Source organism: Homo sapiens, chromosome 19 (assembly GCF_000001405.40).
Source record: "Homo sapiens chromosome 19, GRCh38.p14 Primary Assembly".
NCBI classification, from domain to species: Eukaryota; Metazoa; Chordata; class Mammalia; order Primates; family Hominidae; genus Homo; species Homo sapiens.
Genome location: NC_000019.10, coordinates 6,030,983 through 6,052,927, shown reverse-complemented (window position 1 = coordinate 6,052,927; position 21,945 = coordinate 6,030,983). Strand labels below are relative to the sequence as shown.

At 45.3% G+C, this 21,945-nt stretch overlaps 1 protein-coding gene across 7 annotated transcripts in view, besides 1 other annotated feature; it reads left to right on the top strand.

Moving 5' to 3' along the window:
• RFX2 (regulatory factor X2) overlaps positions 1–21,945 on the top strand; it is a 117,337-nt gene that overhangs the window by 57,573 nt on the left and 37,819 nt on the right. For 5 of the 7 annotated variants that reach the window (NM_134433.3, NM_000635.4, XM_047439197.1 and 2 more), the window contains 4 exons: positions 5,424–5,521; positions 8,646–8,735; positions 10,805–10,884; positions 12,687–12,948. In NM_134433.3, coding sequence (NP_602309.1) covers positions 5,432–5,521; positions 8,646–8,735; positions 10,805–10,884; positions 12,687–12,948 — 522 coding nt within the window. In that variant the 5' untranslated portion in view covers positions 5,424–5,431. The remainder of the gene's footprint in view (positions 1–5,423; positions 5,522–8,645; positions 8,736–10,804; positions 10,885–12,686; positions 12,949–21,945) is intronic. The other 2 variants (XM_047439198.1, XM_017027107.2) reach the window with 1 other exon arrangement.
• Positions 3,903–4,022: a silencer, noted in NCBI's record as "silent region_9943". NCBI's record gives its function as "represses an Ori minimal core promoter by ATAC-STARR-seq in GM12878 lymphoblastoid cells {active_cell/tissue: GM12878}" and the evidence as "EXISTENCE:reporter gene assay evidence [ECO:0000049][PMID:35858748]".

Genomic DNA, 21,945 nt, shown 5'->3' with positions numbered 1-21,945 from the left:
TTTCTTAATAATTTTACTTCTTTTTTTCACCCACAATATTTGTACCAGTGCCCACAAATTTTGATACAAAGTGTTTACATTATAATTCAGTTCAAAATATTTTCTATTTTTCTTTGGGGTTTATTATTTGACCCATGGATTATTTTGAAGGTGTATTTTAAGTTTTCTAAATATTTGGCATTTTTCTAACCTTCTTACTGATTTCTAATTTACTCCACTGTGGTCAAAGTGCATACATGCTCTGTATAATTATGGTATTTTGAAATGTATTGAGGCTTATTTTATGGCCCAGAACATGACCCATCACAGTGAATATTCCATGTGCATTTGAAAAGAATGTGCAGGTTTTGATTGTAGTGTTCTCTAAATGTCAATTACATCAATGTGGTTGATAATATAATTCAGATATTCTGTATCCTTAGTAATATTTCTGCTTAGTTCTTCTAATTTTGATTCAGTAATCAAAATTACTGAATGAAGGATGTTTAAAATCTCCGATTATGATTGTTTATTTCCTCCTTTAGTTTTGTTAATTTTTACTTTACGTATCTTGAAGCTGTATTACTAGGTACATACATATCTGTAATCAATATGTCATACTGATAAATTGATCATCTTATGATGAAATTTTATCTGCAGTAATATTCCTTGTCTTGTCAATGTCTCTAGTATTGCTAGTAATATTTCTCATCTCAGAGTCTATTTTGTCTGATTATTACAGCCGCTCCAGCTTTCTTAAGATCAGAGTTTGCAGGCTGAGTGTGGCGCTCACACCTGTAATCCCAGCACTTTGGGAGGCCGAGGTGGGTGGATCAAGAGGTCAGGAGATGGAGACCATCCTGGCTAACAAGGTGAAACCCCGTCTCTACTAAAAATACAAATATTAGCCTGGTGTGATGGCGGGCACCTGTAGTCCCAGCTACTCGGGAGGCTGAGGCAGGAGAATGGCGTGAACCTGGGAGGTGGAGCTTGCAGTGAGCTGAGACTGTGGCACTGCACTCCAGCCTGGGCAACAGAGCGAGACTCCATCTCAAAAAAATAAATAAATAAAAATAAAAGATCAGAGTTTGCACAGTGGATCTCTTTTTATTCTATTACTTTCAACCTATGTGTGCCTTTATTTTTAAGGAGGGTTTCTTTTAGGGACCATATAATGGGATCTTGATTGTTATCCAGGCTGATCATTTCTGCCTTTTCATTCAAGAATTTAGTCTATTTACACTTAATATATTATTAATATGTCTAGATTTAGCAAAGCAATTCTGCCATTTGCTTTCTATTTGTGCCATCTGTTTGTTTGTTTGTTTCTCTGTTCTTTATTTCTTGCCTTTATTTAGATAATCAAATATGTTAAGTAGGATTTCATTTGATTTCTCTATTAGCTTTTTAGCTATACCTTTTTGTATATATATTTTTTTGGTTAGTGGATGCTTCAGAGGTTACAATGTGCATTGTTAATTTATCACAATTTATAGAGTTAACATGTTACTACTTTAGGTAAAATAAAAGAACCTTGAATGTATAACTTAATTTGTCCCCATCCTCTGTGTTACAACTGTCATGGAGAACATCTACATATGATATAAACCCCACAATGGAGTGTTATAAAGTTTTTGTTAAATAGTTTTATGTATTTAAAATAAATTAAGAGAAGAAAAGGAAAAATATAAAATATATAAAAATACGGTTTTTTATAATTACCTGCGTATTTATCATTTTAAGTGATATTTACTCCTAATAGATCCAAATTTACCATCTGGTATTAATTCCTTTCATTCTGAAGAACTTCCATTAGCATTTCTCATGGTAGGCAGAAAATTTTATCAGGTTTTGTTTATGCAAAAAATGTCTTTATTCCACCTTCAGTTTTTAAGAATAGTTTTGCTGGAGATAGAATTCTGGGCTGATAGGGTTTTCCCCCCCAGCATATTAAAAATGTCACTCCATTGTCTTCTGGTTGCCATTGTTATTGATGAGAAGCCAGTCATCATCTGTGCCCTTGTTCTCCGAATATAATATGTAGTTTTTCTCTGACTGCTTCTTTTAACAGTTTAACCATGACATACCTATCTTGGCTTTCTTTGTATTCTTTTTAGGGTTTGTTGAGATTTTTGGACCTCTAAGTTGATATCCATCACCCAATGTAGAGGTGTTTGGCCATTTTTCAATATTTTTTTCTCTTACATTCTCTTTTTCTCTTCTGGGACTCTCGTTACATATATATTAGACAGTTTGTTCTATTCATGTTTCTTCATATATTTTCTCTTCATTCTTCAGATTGGGTAAATGCTTTTTATCTATTGTTAAGTTCACTAACTCTTTCCATTATCTTTAACCAGCTGTTGAGTGCATCCAGTTAAGTTTTTGTTTCAGTTATTGCTCTAGAATTTCTATTTGGTTCTCCTTTTATACTTTGTTTCTTGATTGAGATTCCCATATGTTCATTCATTATGTATATAACTTCCTTTAAGTTCTTGAAGTTATTTTTAGTAGCTGCTTTAGTCCTTGAATGCTATCTGTATCATCTGGGTTATCTTGCGTTTGGTTATAATTAACTGCTTTTCTTTTTTCTTTTTATTTGTTACTCTTTCTTTTGAGTGTATGTTACACTTTCCTGTTTCTTTTCATAGCTCATGGTTTTTACTGGGTCCTGGACATCATTAATGATGTATTGTAGAATCTGTAGGTTCATCTGAGTTCCCCTGAAGGCAAGTGACTTGGCTAGATTCAAACTCTCCCTCCTGCAACAGGCAGCAGCTGAAATCTTCACTTAATTTTTTTATCTTTGCACTGCTGGTTTTTCCCCAAGACCCCTGGTATCTCCCCCACACCTTTGTGGTGTAGTTGCTTAGCCAAAGATTCAGGTGTATTTTGTAGGAAGATTTGAGGGCTCACCCCTTCTGTGGCTCTCTCTCTTCCAGAATCTCCACACCCCAGCATTCAGAACTCTGTCCTCTGACCCTTCAGGATAACGAGGCTGATGCTTTCTGGCACCCAAGCATTTGTGGACTGGGGCATGCCCACAGGCAAAAAGCCACAGACTCATTGGTCTGACCTATAAGACAACACATGGTAAATAGTGTGTTAAATTAGGGGAACAGGCTGGGCACGGTGGCTTATGCCTGTAATCCCAGCACTTTGGGAGGCTGAGGCAGGCAGATCACATGAGGCCAGGAGTTTGAGACCAGCCTGACCAACATGGTGAAGCCCCGTTTCTATAAAAATACAAAAATTAGCCAGGCATGATGGTGGGTGCCTGTAATCTCGTCTATTCAGGGGACTGAGGTGGGAGAATCACTTGAACCCAGGAGGCAGAGCCAAGATCATGCCATTGCACTCCAGCCTGGGTGACAGAGCAAGACTTCGTCTCAAAAAACAATAATAATAATTAATAAAAATAAATTAGGGGAACACATTCATGTGTAAATGCCTGTGATGTGGAACAACTTGCTTTCTGGAAGGTGCATTCTGGCCATGGTGGACAGACCACGGTCTCGCCATTTATCCCCAACACTCTCATGGCCTCTTCTTACTTAAATAAGGTCTGGAGTTTGGAGCAAAATTATTTCCACCTGCGGAACAAGGAACTGGTCTTAGTCAAGTCAGCATTCTGACTTTATCACTGGTGGACTCCTTTCACAAAGAGTTCTAGTCAAATTATCTCCTAGTATCACTGATGCTACCCGCTTGGCTTCAGACGGGAACAGCATGGTGGATGGTGTGCAAATGACTGATTTAAACATTTAAAGGAAACTGTAAATACAAGCAGCTTGTAACAGAAAAATTCCAAAGGTCAGTTCTGTCAAAGACAGAGAGTGAGTTGAGGACTCAGGAAATACACTATGGGAAATTTACAATCTTTTGAAAGAGTAGAAGGTAGGAGGTGCGGGCTGTGTAAGGTTTAGTTAACGCCCCAGCCAATCACCGTGTGGCTCTGGGGCCATCTAGTGGTGAGAAGTGAGTCAGGCTCACACAGAACAGAAAAATCCCCAGGCACTGGCCGTGGGGCTCTGGGTGGCATCGAAGGCGTTTGGGAGGGGACGGGGGCGGGGGCCGGGGAGCGGTGGTGGTCGGGGAATAGTCCCCAACAATACAGATGGGATTAATCCAGCACACTCGAATTCAAACACACATATCCCTTTCTGCTTTCCTTAGGTAAATTAATTTATTGTAAGTTTGACTTTTCATTTTTAAAAAGCTTAAAATTTTTTTCACTCATTATAAGAGATAAAACCTCTGGGGGTGATAGAGAAACGTAAAAGTTCTAGCAAATGTCTATTGTGTTCTGACGATGTCGTGGGCACCGCGATGTATGTCTGAGGTTCAGTCCTCACCACCCCCAGCAGGCAGGAGCCATGGAGACCCCACACTGGGAGGGTGACATGCTCAAAGCTGGTGCCAGGACGGGGGACTGGTGTGCCTGATCACAAAGCCACCTCCCTACCTAAGTGTGTGTACTTAACTATGTCTCAAATGCTCAACATAGCCGATTGTTTATTTAAAAGTGAAGACTGTTCGACTTTTAGCATTTTCATGGAACAAATTTGTATCATCTGCCACGATATTAAATGAGTGGTTTTATATAGAATTGTAAAACTACCTATTTGAAAGATGTATGCCTCTGACAGCAAAGAAATATATGTTTATACTTTCTTGTGGGCAAAGATGGCTTTGAACAGAAGGCAGTTTTTACTTACTGCCAAAATTCGTGAGGACTTTTATCCAGCCCAGGATAAAATGTACTGTTTCTTTGCTCCCTCTGCAGGTCACCTTTTCTCTCCCTAGCCAGTGGTTCTCACACTGCCCTCCAGGGGTCACTTGGCAATATCTGAACACATTTGTGATTGCCACAGCTTGGGGAGGGGGCGCTCCTGGCATGGAATGGGTGGAGGCCAGGGGTGCTGCTCAGCACCCTGCCGTGCCCAGAATGGGCCTCCAACAGCAAAGAAGTATCCAGCTCAAATGTCAACGGTGCCACAGTGGGGAAACCCAGCCTTAGAGTTTCTCCCGTTGTCGTTTGGGGTGCAGTAGCTTCCCAAATGGCAGTCACCCACCCAGAGCTTTTGATTTCTGGGTAAATGAGGAAACAATTGAGCCCTTCAAAATAGTTCAACCTGCTCAGACTTGGGCACAGAGCCAGTGTCCCGGCCTTCTGTTGAGGAATTCCTGCCATTGTGCGCTGACAGAGCCCTTTTTGGGTTTTATATTTGGAAAACTTTCTCTGGCCCCTCTCTCCTTCTGTGGGACAGTTGTGCAGCCTGTTTCCGCAGCTCCTCACTTAGGCAGTACCACCAGGGTCTCTGCCTTTCGACTTTGAAGAATGTAGCTGGTTACTCCTTCCCTCCCTTGAACTTGTTAGTTGCCTCTTCGGATTTCAGTGCTTGCAGCCCTTGCCCACCCAATCTCTCTCCGCCTTTCTTTAGACCTGAGCATGCAGAATTCCGAGGGTGGAGCGGATTCGCCAGCGTCCGTGGCTCTGCGTCCCTCGGCGGCAGCCCCGCCTGTGCCAGCCTCCCCGCAGGTAACGCGCGCCTCTCAGCAACAACAGGGTGGCCACAGTGTGGACGCGATCTCTATGGGTTTGAAAGCTGCTCAGATCTGCAAAGAGAGGAATCTGTATTTTTCTGAATGGACTTCTCAGTCCCAGTGCTGCTGCTGTTGAAATAGGCACAATTTCCTTAACTGTATTTGGCTTTTTCAATATTTGTTAAAAAGATCCCATCAAGGAAACAATGACATGAATGGAAAAGAAACCACTCTCCCAAATCTGACTTGATCTCTTCTTAGCTTTCAGTGGAGGTTTTCTTGTACTTGGAAATGACCCTTTTACACAGAAATGCTTTATTAAGAATTAAGAAGTAAGGCCGGGTGCAGTGGCTCACACAGGTAATCCCAGCACTTTGGGAGACTGAGACTGGCAGATTACTTGAGGCCAGGAGTTTGAGACCAACCTAGGCAACATAGCCAGACCCTTTCTCTAAAAAAAAAAAAAAAAAATTAGCCAAGCGTGGTGGGCTGCACCTGTAGTCCCAGTTCCTTAGGAGGCTGAGATGGGAGGATCACCTGAGCCTGGGAGGTTGAGGCTGCAGTAAGCCATGATTGTGACACTACACTCCAGCCTGGGTGACAGAGACCTTGTCTTTAAGAAATAAAAAATAAAAAATTTAGCCAGGCATAGTGGTGCACGTCCTGTGGTCCCAGCTACTCAGGAGGCTATGGTGGAAGGATTGCTTGAGCCCAGTGGTTTGAGGCTGCAGTGAGCTGTAATCATACCACTGCTCTCCAACCTAAGTGACAAAAAAAAAAAAAAAAAAAAAAAAAAGGCAAAAAGGCAAAAGATGAGTTAGAATTTTTTTTTTTTTTTGGGGGGGGACGGAGTCTCGCTCTGTCGCCCAGGCTGGAGTGCAGTGGCACGATCTCCCAGGTTCAAGTGATTCTCCTGTCTTAGCCTCCCGAGTAGCTGGGATTACAGGCGTGTACTACCACGCCCGGCTAATTTTTGTATTTTTAGTAGAGACGAGGTTTCACCATGTTGGCCAGGCTGGTCTCGAACTCCTGACCTCAGGTGATCTGCCCGCCTCAGCCTCCCAAAGTGCTGGGATTACAGGCGTGAGCCACCACGCCCAGCCTAGATGAGTTAGAATTCTTAAGATTTTGTTCAAAATAGAATCTAGCACCTGAATGAACATATTCTTTAAAATTCGCAGAGAGAGAATTTTCACATTCAGGCTTTCTCTGCTCCTGGATTTCTACCGTGGAATGAAATAAGCCATAAAGAAGACAGAAATACAAAGCGAATGGCACCGGCCACATGAAACAGGCTGGAGGCTCATCACAGTGTGCAGAGGTCCACTGTGGCCGTGTGACCACCTCGATCTGGAATCTAAAAGTTAGGAGCACAGCAAAAAGAAATGATTATGGTTTTAAAACACACAATTCAGGGCCAGGCATGGTGGCACATGCCTGTAATCCCAGCACTTTGGGAGGCCAAGGTGGGTGGATCACCTGAGGTCAGGAGTTTGAGACCAGTCTGAGTAACATGGTGAAACCCTGTGTCTACTAAATACAAAAAATAATAATAATAATAAATTAGCCGAGCATTGTGGCACATGCTTGTAATCCCAGCTACTCGGGAAGCTGAGGCAGGAGAATCGCTTGAACCCAGGAGGCAGAGGTTATAGTGAGCCGAGATCGTGCCATCGCACTTCAGCCTGGGCGACAAGAGCAAAAATCCGTCCCAAAAAACACAAAAAAACAAAAACAAAAAAACACAATTCCGCAAAAACAAAAAGGCAGACAGTGAAGCGGTTTATTTGATGTAGTGTGTATGGTCAGACATCTTTAGCTTTTATTTCTTGCACATATGGCAGTGGGGAGGGCGTCTTGGAAGCCCATCTGAGGTGAGGATCAGACGCCGTCGCCCTGCCAGCAGTTGTGGCCTAATTGATATGTTTCCGTGCCCACTTGAAATTGTCCAAGAGGAGTCAGCCCTCAGGTCTTCCTGCCAAGCCCCTCTCTCAGGCTCTCCCAGGCCTAGGTGGACTCTGCCTTCCTCTGCAGCAGCCACCATGGACAGGTCTCAGTGCCACTCACGGCCACCATGTGTGTCCCAGGTTTCATCACTGTGGTCCCTCTCTGAGGACTTGCCAGGACCCTGTGAATTCTCCAAGCACACGGCGCCCAGCTCACCTGGAATCAGAATGCCCTTGCGCTGGCATCCTTATTAGCACCATCTTCATCCTTAGCTCCACTCCTGCAACACAGGGGATGGCGTGTCCTCACCCATCACCCCTCGTGATGTATATATGGCAGTCACTGCTACCTGTGACATTCAGGGTTCATGCCGGGAAATCACAGCACTGCAGCCAATGACTCCGAAAGCCCCAGCTCTCAATAAACACACAAAACACTCCTGTTCCTCCCTCGACTCGAGTTCACTTTGACCCTTCCCATTTTGATAGCTTTGTGTGGCCAATCGGTACTCCCAGAAAAATAGCAAAGCCACACTGTGCAGATTTGACTTAGGAGGCTGGAGAGCAGTGGGGTCAGAGAGCGAGGGACCCAGACACAGGGCACCTGGACTCGAGTATTCTGTAGCCAGAGGCAGCACTTGAGCCCTCTGGCTTCATTAACCTCATCAGAAAATGGAAACAAGTCCGGGTTATACTGCAGAAGCGAGGGGCGCCACAGAGTGCTCTCCCACGCAGTGGTGCGGATGGCTATCCAGAGGGCCCCAGCAGTCCCCTCTGTACTAGGGACGATCAGTGTCACCTTGCTGCAGACTACAGACCCACAGAGGCAAAGCTGCCTGGGCGGGTGAAGGTGCATGTGCTTCCGTGTATGTGTGTGTGCATACGTGTGTGTGTGCCCACAATTCGTGCATATGTGTGGTGCATGGGCTGAGTGTATGTGCACACTTGTGTATGTATGTGCATTGTTTGTGTGCCTGCACGTACCTGCCGTGTGTCTGCCCAGGTCGGTGTGAGTGTGCAAGTCTGACCATCACCCCGCCGTCGCCTCTGATCAGTCCTGCCTATGTTTTAATAAAAAGCACATGAACAGACAAACAGCATCTTACATTCTGTGTGTATCCTCAGCACTGACCTCTGACAAGTCTAACTGGCCTTCTCTCCCTTCCCTTTTAGAGGGTGTTGGTCCAGGCAGCCAGCTCCAATCCCAAAGGGGCCCAGATGCAGCCGATCTCCCTCCCCAGAGTTCAGCAGGTACCCCAGCAGGTAATGACAAGCACCGCAGCACCGTGCAAACCGGGGCGCAGTTAGCACTCAGCAATCCAGAACAATCTCTGAAGGATGCATCCTTTTCTGTGGCTGCTGTTCCTTGTTGTAAGCTTCAGTTTCTTAGCCAAAAGACTTTTCCAGAAGCTGTGCAATTTTAAAAAAATCATTTACTGCAGATAGTTTTGCAGAAAGCCAAGAAAGCTGGTGATCTTTCGTTCATTCAGAAATTCAGCAAGCATTTGGGGAACCAGTGAGCACCCCGCACCTGCTGGGTGGAGCTCAGGTAGAAATGCAGACAGAAACAAAGGGCTCTGGACTGGAGGAACCATCTGCTAGTGAGTGCCATACCCTCAGATGCGGGCACAACAGAGGAAATGCTTCTTATGATTTCAATTATCTAAGAACAAAGTTTGAAAGCACGGCTGACCAGCCAAGTAGCAACACAGATCATCAGCTTGGGGACACTCTAGAAGCATGGTTAGCAAACTGTTTCCAGAAAAGGCCAAATTATACATTTTTGGGGGTTTGTGGTCCAGGCAGTCTCTGGAACAACCACTCAATTCTGCCATTGTATCGCAAAAGCAGCCATAAATGATATGCAACCAAATGGGTGTGGCTGTGTGCCAATAAAACTTTATTTACAAAAACAGGCAGTGGGCCAGATTTGGCCCTCAGGGCCGGAGTTTGCCAACTGTGCCCTGCAGAATCCTGAATTAAAGTTAACTCAGGCTCCTCCCTAAAAGGAGCCCTGAGGCCCTAGAGAATGCACCGCTCTTCAGGAGGGTCCTGCCTAGATTGGCAGTCTGTTCACAGGCATTTGTCAGGTGACTGTGTCCATGAGAACTAGGAAGGTTTGCAGGATCACAGGAAGGAAAAGGCTCCAGACAGGCCCAGCGGGGACGCAGGGCCTCAGGCCAGTGGCTCTGTCTTAGCTGCTGTCTGTCAAGGCACTCCCCAGAGACACCAAGGAGAGGAGATTCCAGAAGCTTCCACCACTTTTCTGGTGCTGGGCCTGCCCCAGCTCTTTCTGTAACTTCTGCATTTCACTTGGACCCCAGAATTCGACATTTGACTTCCACCCCTGGGGCATCACCCAACAGATGTTAACCCCTGGAACTTGTGATTCTGGGGGTGGTGCGTTGGACAAGTGCATACCATGCTCAGTGGTCCAAGGAGGGGCAGGTCAGCCCCATCCTGCAGCTTCAAGCACAAGAGGAAGGTCACCATGACACCATGACACCCGAACAAGCCCACTTCTGTGGCCCTCCATCTTCTCACCCCAAAATTCAGTGGATGTAGACAGCCACTAAGATGCCCTCTGGGGTGAGAGTTTGAAGTCCCATGTGCAAAGCGTTTGGCTTCCACTGCTCGGACTAGAGTCCCTCGGGGCCTGTCAGCCGAGGCTCTGAACTGATGTTTCAGAGAGGGGAGGGCAGGGCAGCGGGGGTGTGCTGGGGTCCCCCCATTGCCCCATCTCTCCAGGCATGCCGCTCCTTCCCACTCTGTTCAGACCATCACATTCTCTCCCCTCCTCTCTGCCAGGGAAGGGGCACCAGGGCCACCCACGGGGGGTGTTGGGGCCATGTAGAGTCTAATCTGCTCAGCCCCCTGTGCACTGCAGCCTGCACGCCAGCTTGAGCTACAGAGGGAGACCCTGTCGCAAAAAAACAAACAAACAAACAAAAAAAAAAAACAGAAACCAGGGACAGTCCTGTGAGCCAAGGCTGGGCCTCTGTCCACAACTCTAGTTTCCACTGCACTGGAGGAGCGTTGTCATTCTCCTGGTCCCGCCCCCACGTATACAGAGGAGCCAGGGCGCACAGACACGCTAGCAGAGCTCTGGGGATCAGTCGCAGCTCCCTGAACTGTGTGGGCCCGTTTGGAATATGTCGTCTGTACATTACTGTCTCCTCAGTGTCTTTCTAGGCGTGCCGACTGTGGGCGGGAACATTGTCATTTGGTACTAAATGTTCATAAAGGCAATAGAAGACACGTCTAGCTTGAATAATCTGCAGGCAACTCACGAGGGCGTGACTGGCGGTAACGCAGCGTATCCGATGTTTCAGGTGCAGCCGGTGCAGCACGTGTATCCTGCCCAGGTGCAGTACGTGGAAGGGGGAGACGCCGTCTACACCAATGGAGCCATGTGCGTGCTTCTCCCGCGGGCCACACCCGGAACCCTCTCCCTGACTCCAGCCTTTGCCACCTGGGGAGGCATCAAGCAAATTCCTCTCCCTTATGCTTTTGGCGATGTGTTCACTAAATACTGTTAAAATGCTATTAGGAAACTGGGCAATATCTCTACAAAAAATTTTAAAATTAGCCAGACATGGTGACAAGTGCCTAGAGTCCCTCCCAGGTAATCAGGAGGCCAAGGTGGGAGGATCGCATGAGCCCAGGAGTTGGAGGCTGCAGTGAGCTATGATCACGCCTGACTGATGGAGCAACACCCTGTCCAAAAAAAAAAGGAGCGGGGTGGGAGCTGAGGGATTAGGACATCATAACCCTGTGGAGATTTCAGAAATCACAGACTTTTGTACTTTTTACTTTTAGAAAAGATAGTCTTGGAAAAAAAAAAAAAAAGGCTAATCCTAACTCTTCATTCTGAAGTCTCAGTCTTTGAGATCCAGAAACCATCCACCCCTGTGTGTTTTCCCCTCGCCTCTGTTAAACTCCAGCTTTGTATAATGTTGATAGAACTTGATTTTCCATGTTGCAAGGATGTCTAGAGTTTTCTGCTCTGTAACTGTGTGATGCTTGGGGTAGGAAAGTATGCATCTCCCGTGCAGCTCACTTTACTTTAGACGTGAGTCCTTTCGCCTGCTTGTCTGTTTCCATTTGGCCTGGATGGCTCCCCTCACAAGTGCAGGGGCTGTACATGAGAACCTGGCTGTGACTTCAGGGTTGTGATTGGTGGAGTTGTATGATTCTAACCCCAGCCACTGTGGCGGTGCACACCCATCACCCCAGCTACTGTGGCGGTGCACACCCATATTCAGAGGCTGAAGCAGGAGGATCACTTGAGCTCAGGAGGCTGAGGCTGCAGTGAGCTATGATTTTGCCACTGCACTCAAGTCTGGGCTACAGAAGGAGACCCTGTCTCAAAAAAACAAAACAAAAAAACCCCTGGAAATTGACATTGGGGTAAAACTGTTAACTAGCCCACAGGCCTTATTCAGTTCTACCAGTCTGTATGCACGTGCTTTTGCGTGTGTGCTTGCATGTGGAGTACATGTGGCTTTGCATGTTCATGTGTGTACCCTTGCATGTGCGTGCGTGTCTATTTCTTTGCATTTTTAGCCCATGTGTAGATTTGTGTAACAATACCACCATCAAGATACAGAACTGCTCCATCTCCACACAGGAGCTCCCTCATGTGACCCATTTATCCACTTACAATTTTAAGTTTTATTTGTATTTATTTTTTTTAAGAGATAGGGTCTTGCTCTGTTGCCCAGGCTAAAGTGCAATGGTGCAGTCACAGCTCACTGTAACCTCAAAGTCCTGGGCTCAAGCAGTCCTCCCACCTCAGCCTCCTGAGTAGCTGGGACTACCGGCACGCACCACCACACCTGGCTAAATCTTTTATTTTTTGTAGAGATGGTTCTCTCTATGTTGCCCAGGCTGGTCTCAAACTTCTGACCTCAAGCAATTTTCCCACCTTAGCCTCCCAAAGTGCTGGGATTACAGGCGTGAGCCACCACGCCTGGCCTAGAATTTTTAAGTGGTCACTTTTTGATAAGTCAGCCTGTGGTCCTAAAGATTTTGCAACATGGTGGCTGTGAACTTGCGCTGCATTTGAGTGTCATATGCCACGTCCGAATTGCTCCATATGTCTGGCCTCTCTGGGTTGCAGCTTTTACGTGATGTTTGGCTGGATATCTGTGAACTCAGACAAGGCATTTAAATGGGACAGCGTCCCATGCGTGACTTCTCTCTTTCTAACAGACGAACAGCCTACACCTACAACCCCGAGCCTCAGATGTACGCCCCCAGCAGCACGGCTTCTTACTTCGAGGCCCCAGGCGGTGCCCAGGTGACCGTGGCAGCCTCGTCCCCGCCAGCGGTCCCCTCCCACAGCATGGTGGGCATCACCATGGATGTCGGGGGGAGCCCCATCGTCTCCAGCGCGGGAGCCTATCTCATCCACGGGGGGATGGACAGCACCAGACACTCCCTGGCCCACACCTCCCGCTCATCGCCCGCCACGGTATGTAGGAGGCTCTTGGGACCAGCAGGGTAGGCCATGAGTATTCTCGAAGCAGCGGCAGCAGGGATGGTGAGTAAGAGGCAGCCGGAGGCCCGGAGGGGCTGTCGTCTGCTCTGGGCCCAGGCGGCCCCACGATGGAGTCGGGCCAGCCTCAGACGGGCCACGCAACCATAGGCAGGCCTGCAGAGTTCTTTGAACTTCAGTTGGCCATTGGTATAAAGAGGAGGACAAGCCATGCGTCATGGGCTGTTGTGAAAAGGGAATGAGTCAAGCATCTCTCCACTGGTGGATGCTGCAGCCTCCTTTGCTCTTATTATTGTTATCGTTGTTACTATCAAGCTTTTAGAGGCGTGGATCAATCCATCCATGAGACACCTGGACTGAATCAAGCAGGGGAAGTTTCCCTGCAGCCTCTGCCGAGTTCTCGCTGCCATGCCCCGATGCAAAATAACGACTTATCTGCTTTTCCAGAGTCTCTACATTTAAAACTCGATTACCCGTGTTTACTTTTCATTTATTTTCCTTCTTAAATTAACACAAAGTAAAATCAACTTTTTGGTGTACAGCCTTGTGAGTTTTGACATGGGTAGATTTGTGTATAATCAGGTCACAGAACAGTGCATTGCCCTGAAAACCCCCTCGTGGTATTTCTTGGCAGTCACAACCTCCCCCATCCCCAGCCCTTGGCAACTGCTGATCTGTTCCCTATTGCTGTAGTTTCATCTTTACTAGCGTGGTGTATAAATGGAATCGTACAGATTGTGACCTTTTCAGACAGGCTTCTTTTACTCATTCTGGTGCCTTTGAGATTCAGTCAAGTTGCTGCATGAATCCGAGTTGCTTTTTTTTGTTACTGAGTAATATTCTATTACACTACAGTTTGTTTATTCATTCACTAGTTGAGGGCCATTTGGATGGTTTCCAGTTTGGGGTGATTATGAATAAAGAAGCTCTAAGTTTCACATGCAGGCTTTTGTAAGGACATATGTTTTCTTTCTTTTGGATATATACCTACAAGTGGAATTGCTGCTGGCTCATACAGAAAGTGTATGTTTAACTTTATCAGAAACCACCAGTTTCCCAAGTGGTTGCACCATTTTGCATTCCCACCAGCAACATACAAGAGTTCCTCTTGCTCCTCTCCGTCAGCAGCATTTGATGCTGCTGGTGCTCTTGGTTTTGGCCATTCTAATAGATGTGTGGTGGTACCTCATTGTGGTTGCAACTTGCATTTTCTTTATAGCTAATGATGGTAGCAGCTTTTCATGTGAGTGTAGATGCTCTGGTCAGGTGTCACTTCAAGTCATTTGCTTCTTTTTTAACTAGGTTGGTTGTTTTCTTATGGTTGAGTTTTGAGAATTCTTTATGTATTCTGGATACAAGTCTCCTGTCAGATATGTGACTTGCAAATATTTTCCCCAGTCTTTAGTGTGTCTTTTCATTCTCTAAAAAGTGTCCTTTGCAGAGAAAAAAAAAATTTTAATTTTGATGAAATCCAACTTATCAATTTTTCTTCTGTGGCTCATGCTTTCAATGTCATGTCTAAGAACTCTTTGCCTATTTGCACATTATGAAGATTTTCTCCTGTTTTCTTTGAAAAGTTTTATAGTTTTACTTTTGTTTTGGGTTTTTTTTTTTTTTTTTTTTTTTTCTGAGACGGAGTCTTGCTCTGTGACTCAGGCTGGAGTGCAGTGGCACCATCTTGGCTCACTGCAACCTCCACCTCCCGGGTTCAAGCGATTCTCCTGCCTCAGCCTCCCGAGTAGCTGGAATTACAGGTGTGTACCACCACACCCGGCTAGTTTTTGTGTTTTCAGTACAGACAGGGTTTTACCATGTTGGCCAGGCTGGTCTCGAATGCCTGACCTCAAGTGATCTGCTCACCTCGGCCTCCCAAAGTGCTGGGATTACAGGCGTGAGCCACCGCGCCTGACCATAGTTTTACATTTTACATTTAGATCTGCTTCCTATCAAGTTAACATTTGTATAATGTAAGGTTTAAGTTGAGGTTCATTTTTTTTTGCTTATGAAACAATGTGTTGTTCTAGCCTCATTTGTTAAAAAGACTACCCTTTCTCCATTGGATTGCTTTAACACCTTTGTCAAAAATCAGTTGGCCATATGTGTGTGGGTTTATTTCAGAGTGTCCTATTCCATCCCATTGGTCTGTCTGCCTATCCCTTTACAAGTAGCATAGTCTTAATTACTATAGCTTTATAGTAAGTCTAAAATTGAAGAGGATGGTTCCTCCCACTTTATTCTTCAGTATTGCGTTGACTATTTATATAAACTCAAAGTTTCTGTATAAGTTTAGATCAATTTATCTATATCTACAAAGAAATGCTACTGAGATTTTGACTAATTTGCACTGAACCAACTTGGGGAGAATTCCCATCTTTACTATGTTAAGGCTTCCAATCCATGAACATGGTACGTTTTCTCCATTTGTTTAGATCTTCTTTCATCAGCATTTTGTAACTTATACAAAATTCTGTACATGTTTTGTTAGATTTATATCAAAGTATTTCATGTTTGGAGAGCTATTGTAAATGGCATTGTGGGTTTTCTTGGCATTGATCTTTAAATTTCTGTTTCCAACTGTTCATTTCTAGGATTTAAAAAATGGTTGATTTTTGGCTCTTTATCTTGTATCCTGTAATCTTGCTGAACTCACTTTTTTTTTTTTTTTTCTTTTTGAGACAGAGTCTCTCTCTGTCGCCCAGGCTGGAGTGCAGTGGCGCAATCTGGGCTCACTGCAAGCTCCGCCTCCCAGGTTCACATCATTCTCCTGCCTCAGCCTCCCGAGTAGCTGGGACTACAGGTGTCTGCCACCACTCCCGGCTAATTTTTTGTATTTTTAGTAGAGACGGAGTTTCACCATGTTAACCAGGATGGTCTCCATCTCCTGACCTCGTGATCTGCCTGCCTCGGCCTCCCAAAGTGCTGGGATTACAGGTGTGAGCCACCCTTCCCAGCCTGAACTCATTTTTTGGTTCTAGGAGCTTCTTGTTGCCTGCAAATATAACTGCTTTATTTCTTTCTTTCCAATATGGACAAAAAGAAATTTCATTTCTTTTTCTTGCCTTTTTGCACTGGCTAGCACTTGCAGTGAAATGTTGAACAGGGGTGGCAAGAATGGACATCCTTGCCTTTTTCCCAGTCTTAAGGGAAAAGCCGTCAGTCTGTCACTGCTAAGTATGTGATGTTAGCTGTGGGTTTTTCACAGATGCCCTTTTTCAGGTTGAGGAAGTTCCCTTCTTTTTCTAGTTTTCTGGAAGTCTCTATGATAAATAGATGTTGAATTCTGTCAAACGTTTTTTTACATATGTAAGCATCAGCATATTTTTGTCTTCATTGGGGTGTTAATATAATGAATTGCATTGATTGACTTTCAATTACACAATAACTTCTTATTTTGGTGTAAGGCTCATCTCCTGAGATAGAAGGTGGTGGTTTAGCCTTGTCTCTGTGTTTTTGTTTGTTTGTTTTTGGTTCTGGTGTGTTCTGGGGTCACCCTGGCATCAGAGAGGCCCCATGAATCTTGCTGTCCTCTCTCTTCCTTTGTCCAGAGTGACCCCCAGGCCCTGGCTTTGAGGACAGGCGTAGTGCCCCATGCCTCCTCCCTCTCTTCTCGGGAGGAGTCACTTGCTTTCTAGAGGCTGTGAAATTGTAGGGTAGTGTCTGCTGCTTCTACCCCTAGCCACTTAGTGCCTCGGTGCCATTAGCACCCCAGGCCAGGCAGCCCCAGCAGACCAGACATACTTCTCCCGCCTGGGATTGGCTGGGTGGAACTAGGTTTAGTTGTTATGGAACAGAAAGCTTTCCTCGCAGACTACAGTAATTGTCACGAATGTGGCACATTTGACTTAGCAAACGGCATCAACTTATAACAGTAAAATAGACTAGGATTGCAAGTCACAAATTTACTGAGAAACAATCATGTTCTCTGTGGATTCAGAATTACCTCATTGCAGCAAACATACTGCTCAGACCCTGGGCCACCACCCTGGAGCTGTGGTTTGTTATGTGGGTTGCTCTGGAAGAACTAAATTATTAAATCAATTAGAAATCCGTGAATAGGCTATGTTTTCACACACACACACACACACACACACACACACACACACACCCCCCACCAAGCTCTGGGGGAGTCATCATCTTGGATACGAATCTGATTCCTGGCTTCTGACTGCTCTGCTGTTGTTTATTGGCTTGTTGTTGGCATAAGAACATCCAACAAGGATGCCACAGAAATTCGAGACTTTCCAAGAGCCAAGAACAACCATGGCCCTGAAATTGCAACAGAAATACAGCTGCTGGACCCAACATTGGATGTCTACCAGTTCGTTCATGTCAGAGTTTTGTTTCTCGGGACTTTCGCTTAGTCCTAAAGACAGAGCACAAACACTGAAGCAAGTCCTCACTGGTAGCCTCGACGAGTGATTCCAGACTCTTGGTGACCAATTTTCTCGAGTATTTATTTCTGGTTAAAATGTCATCCATATTATAAATCTTAAAAATTAGTTGCCCAAATGGTGAGTTTTTGATACACACGTTTTCTATTGTGCTTTTTTTCACTGCGTGGAGCAGGGAAACTAAAGTGGGAGTTTTATTCTTGTCCTTTCTGCCCAAGTGGAACCTCCTTTTTTACTGTTTGGGTTGTGTCCAGGGGAGGCTGAAGGTCACTCAAGGGGGAACAAGAAAGAGACCCCTCCACCCTGGGAGCAGCCCTCAGTGGGCCCTTCCTCCTGCAAGACCCAGAGGCCACATGAGGCCATGCTGTGAAAACACACAGCCTCTGAGGGTCACACGGTGGGCCCTGACGAAGACAAAAAGTCTTTATCTTTTTTATCTTTTTTAAAATTTTTCTCATACTTTAATGCATCTTTTCTCATTTTATTAGTTTAAATCTGACTAATACAGCAGAAGATCAAAAAAGTCTAATGGATTTTAATTGCAGCTGAAGTTAAAATGTCCTACTGTACTTTATTAGTTTAACAAGCTAAATATTCTGCCTTTGACAGCTTTCTTTTTGCCCAAGAAGGGTGTCTTATGATACCCGATACATAATACCATTAAAAGAGAAATTTTCGGTAAATTAAACAAGAGTCTATCTGAGCAAAGAACAACTCTCCAGTCAGGCAGCCCTCAGAACTAGAAAAGGTTCAGAGAGCACCCCTTCCTGGTGGTCCATGGAGGTGGCTCGCAGAGGCCCATGGCACCTCCACGCAGTGGCACAGCTCATGACAGAATCAGGAGTCACACACATCTCTTCTTCTGTAGCCTGGCTCTTCAGTGAAGATGTAGAATGAAAAGTCACCTGGGCACAGTGGCTCATGCCTGTAATACTAGCACTTTGGGAAGCTAAGGTGGGAGGATCACCTGAGCCCGGGAGTTCAAGACCAGCTTAGGCAACATAGTGAGACCCCATCTCTACAAAAAACTTAAAAATTGGGCTGGTATGGTGGCTCATGCCTGTAATCCCAGCACTTTGGGAGGCTGAGGCGGGTGGATCACAAGGTCAAGAGATGGAGACAATCCTGGCCAACATGGTGAAACCCCGTCTCTACTAAAAATGCAAAAATTAGCTAGGTGTGGTGGTGCGCACCTGTAGTCCCAGCTCATCGGGAGGCTGAGGCAGCAGAATCACTTGAACCCGGGAGGCGGAGGTTGCAGTGAGCCAAGATTGTGCCACTGCACTCCAGCCTGGTAACAGAATGAGACTCCGTCTCAAAAAAAAAAAAAAAAAAAATTAGCAGTGTGTGTCTGTAGTCCCAGCTACTAAGGAGGCTGAGGTGGGAGGATCACCTGAGCTGGGGGAGGTTGAGGCTGCAGTGAGCCGTGATGGTGCCACTGCACTCCAGCCTGGGTGACAGAGCAAGACTCTGTCTCTAAATAAATAAATAAAAATAAATCACTTGGGTACTCCTACCATCTGCCAGAAGCCTGCTCAGCCCCTGCATAGCAGAGCTTTTGTCCAATGATCAGAGCGAATTATTTGCCAGCCAACACACATGATGATAATCGCTCTTCCCACTGCCTGCCTTTGACATTCCCACACTCAAGATACTGTTTGATAAAGGAATGTCACCAATGGCACATCTGCTTTTTCTCTCACTATGATATTTATCACCACTTTTTTTTAAAACTTCATAGAGTTCCCTTTGTGGTGCAGTTTGAAGTTGTTTGTTTGTTACATTTGTTGCAGCTGATGATCCAATATTGATACATTATTGTTGACTACAGTCCCGTTCACATTAGGGTTCACTCTTGGTGGTATGCGTTCCATGGGTTCTGGCAAGTGTGTGATCCTATCTTCACTTTCAAAGCTGGTTTTATAGGGTTTTTTTTTTTTTTTTTTTTTGCAAAGGTGGGAAAAGTACCCAGGTTCACACTTACAAGTAACCCTTTGAAAGATATGTTTGAAGATTTAGTCTCAGATTTGCCTGTAGTGACAAGATTAAAGACTGTCATACAAAAAGCACTATTTTTCACTTATTCTGAAGCATTTCAATTGATTTACCAGACAAGTCATCCTTCTTTGTCTGAAGTGACATAACCTCACTTGACAAGCTGTTAAGACAACCAGGGACAAATTGATCATTGATCTAATAATCGATTAGCTACTGATGGATCTCTTGAGTGTTGACCCATTTCTTATTTTCCTGTTTTCTTTCATGGCACCGTATGCAAAATGATCACAGTATGTGATCCCAGATTGGGTCCTGGTCCAGAGGAAGGACATTAGTGAGAAAATGGATCATATTCTATAACGTCCGTGGATTAGTTAAGAGTGTTGAAGTTAAGAGTGCGCAGTGGCTCTGTAAGAATCGGTCCTGCTGAGTGTGGTGGCTGATGCCTGTCATCCCAGTGGCTCTAAGAATCGGTCCTGCTGGGCGCGGTGGCTCACACTGGTCATCCCAGCACTTTGGGAGGTGGAAGCAAGTGGGACTGCTTCAGCCCAGGAGTTCAAGACAAGCCTGGGCAACATTGCGAAACCCCATCTCTACAAAAAATACAAAAATTCCCTGGTTGTGGTGGCACATGCCTGTATGTTCAGCTACTTGGGAGACTGAGGTGGGAGGATGGCCTGAGCCCAGGAGGTCAAGGCTGTAGTGAGCTGTGATCGTGCCACTGCACTCCAGCCTGGGTGACAGAAGGAGACCCTGTCTCAAAACAAAGAAACAAACAACAGAATTGGTTCAGAAAGATAGCCACAAAATATTAAGTAACAAACACAAGTTGCAGAACTAAATAGAGACTGAGGGAAAATAATTAAAGCAAGTGTGAATGTGATCTCATGCCCCACAAAGGACGTGCACAGAGATATTGGTGGGGGCTCCCCCTGCCAAGTGGGAGTTGGGAGGAACAGACAAAGGGATTAAAATGCCCCATCTCCCTCCCCCAGCCTCTCAGCCCTGCTGGCCTCCTCTGCCTGGACCACAGCGTTGGGCTTTTCCCTTCTCCAGGCCTAATTCTATGATTTACCACTCTGCCTTCAAAATTCCAGTCATTCTGCTTTTCCCTTTTAAAAACAATCTGCATTCTTGGGCCAGGCGCAGTAGCTCACGCCTGTAATCCCAGCACTTTGGGAGGCAAAGGCAGGTGGATCACAAGGTCAGGAGATCGAGACCATCCTGGCCAACATGGTGAAACCCTGTCTCTACTAAAATACAACAACAACAAAAAAATTAGCTGGACGGGGTGGCACGCACCTGTAGTCTCAGCTACCCAGGAGGCTGAGGCAGGGGAATCGCTTGAACCTGGGAGGCAGAGGTTGCAGTGAGCCGAGATCGCGCCACTGCACTGCAGTATGGCGACAAAGCAAGACTCCATCTCAAAAAATAATAATAATAATAAAATAAAAACAATCTGCATTCTCTATAAAGACCCCAAAGGGTTGTTAGCATTTTAACTTGAATTGGCTCCTTCTATGGTAACATGTCTAAGTTCTGTTTTAGAACAGAGGGTGAATTAACTACAGCAGGTTTGGGAGTGGCCCTCTCTGTCTCGTGTCTCCATATTTGGGTTTTTGGGGAATGACCTCCTCTCCCTCCCTACACCATGGCCACTTCTAGCTCCAGAATGAGCTATGATCATGCCACTGCACTCCAGCCTGGGCAGCAGAGAGAGACCCCACCTCTTTTTTAAAAAAGAATGCAGAGGCATCAAACTGTCCTAGAAGTCACTGTATTTTTCATCACCACATGCTCACATTCTAAAAGATGTTTTTAAGAGAGGAGAGAAAGAGGCTGGGTGCAGTGGCTCACACCTGCAACCCCAGCGCTTTGGGAGGCCAAGGCGGGTGGATCACTTGAGGTCAGGAGTTCAAGACCAGCCTGGCCAACATGGTGAAACCCCACCTCGACTAAAAATACAAAAATGAGCTGAGCATGGTGGCGGGCACCTGTAATCCCAGCTGCTCGGGAGGCTGAGGCAGGAGAATTGCTTGAACCTGGGTGGTGAAGGTTGCAGTGAGCCAAGATCGCAACACTGCACTCCAGCCTGGGCAACAGAGTGAGACTCGATCTCAAAAAAAAAAAAAAAAAAAAAAAAGGGAAGGAGAAGAAAGAAAGGAAATACTAGTTTCATTTAAGAATGTCCTTGATGAAGCAGTAAAAATTATTAATTTTATTAAATTTCAACTCTTGAGCACACATCTCTTTACTATTGTGTGTGATGAGATGGGAAGTCCACCAGAGTACAATGACCACCTCCAAGAAAAGCCTGTGTGTGCTTGATTGACGTGTGGGCAGAACTAGCCATGGTTTTCCTAAAACTCCATTTCTGCTTGAAAGAATGACAAACTATGATTATTCGGACTCAGGTATTTGGCAGACATGTTTCCAAAAATGAACAAAGCCTGACATATTAAGAAAAACAGCTGGCAGGTTTTTGTGGCCAATGATAAAATTCAAGTTTTTAAACAAAGAAATGAAAATTTTGGAGTTGTGTCTGCCAACCAGGAACCTGACAACTTCTCAAAGTTAGTGACTT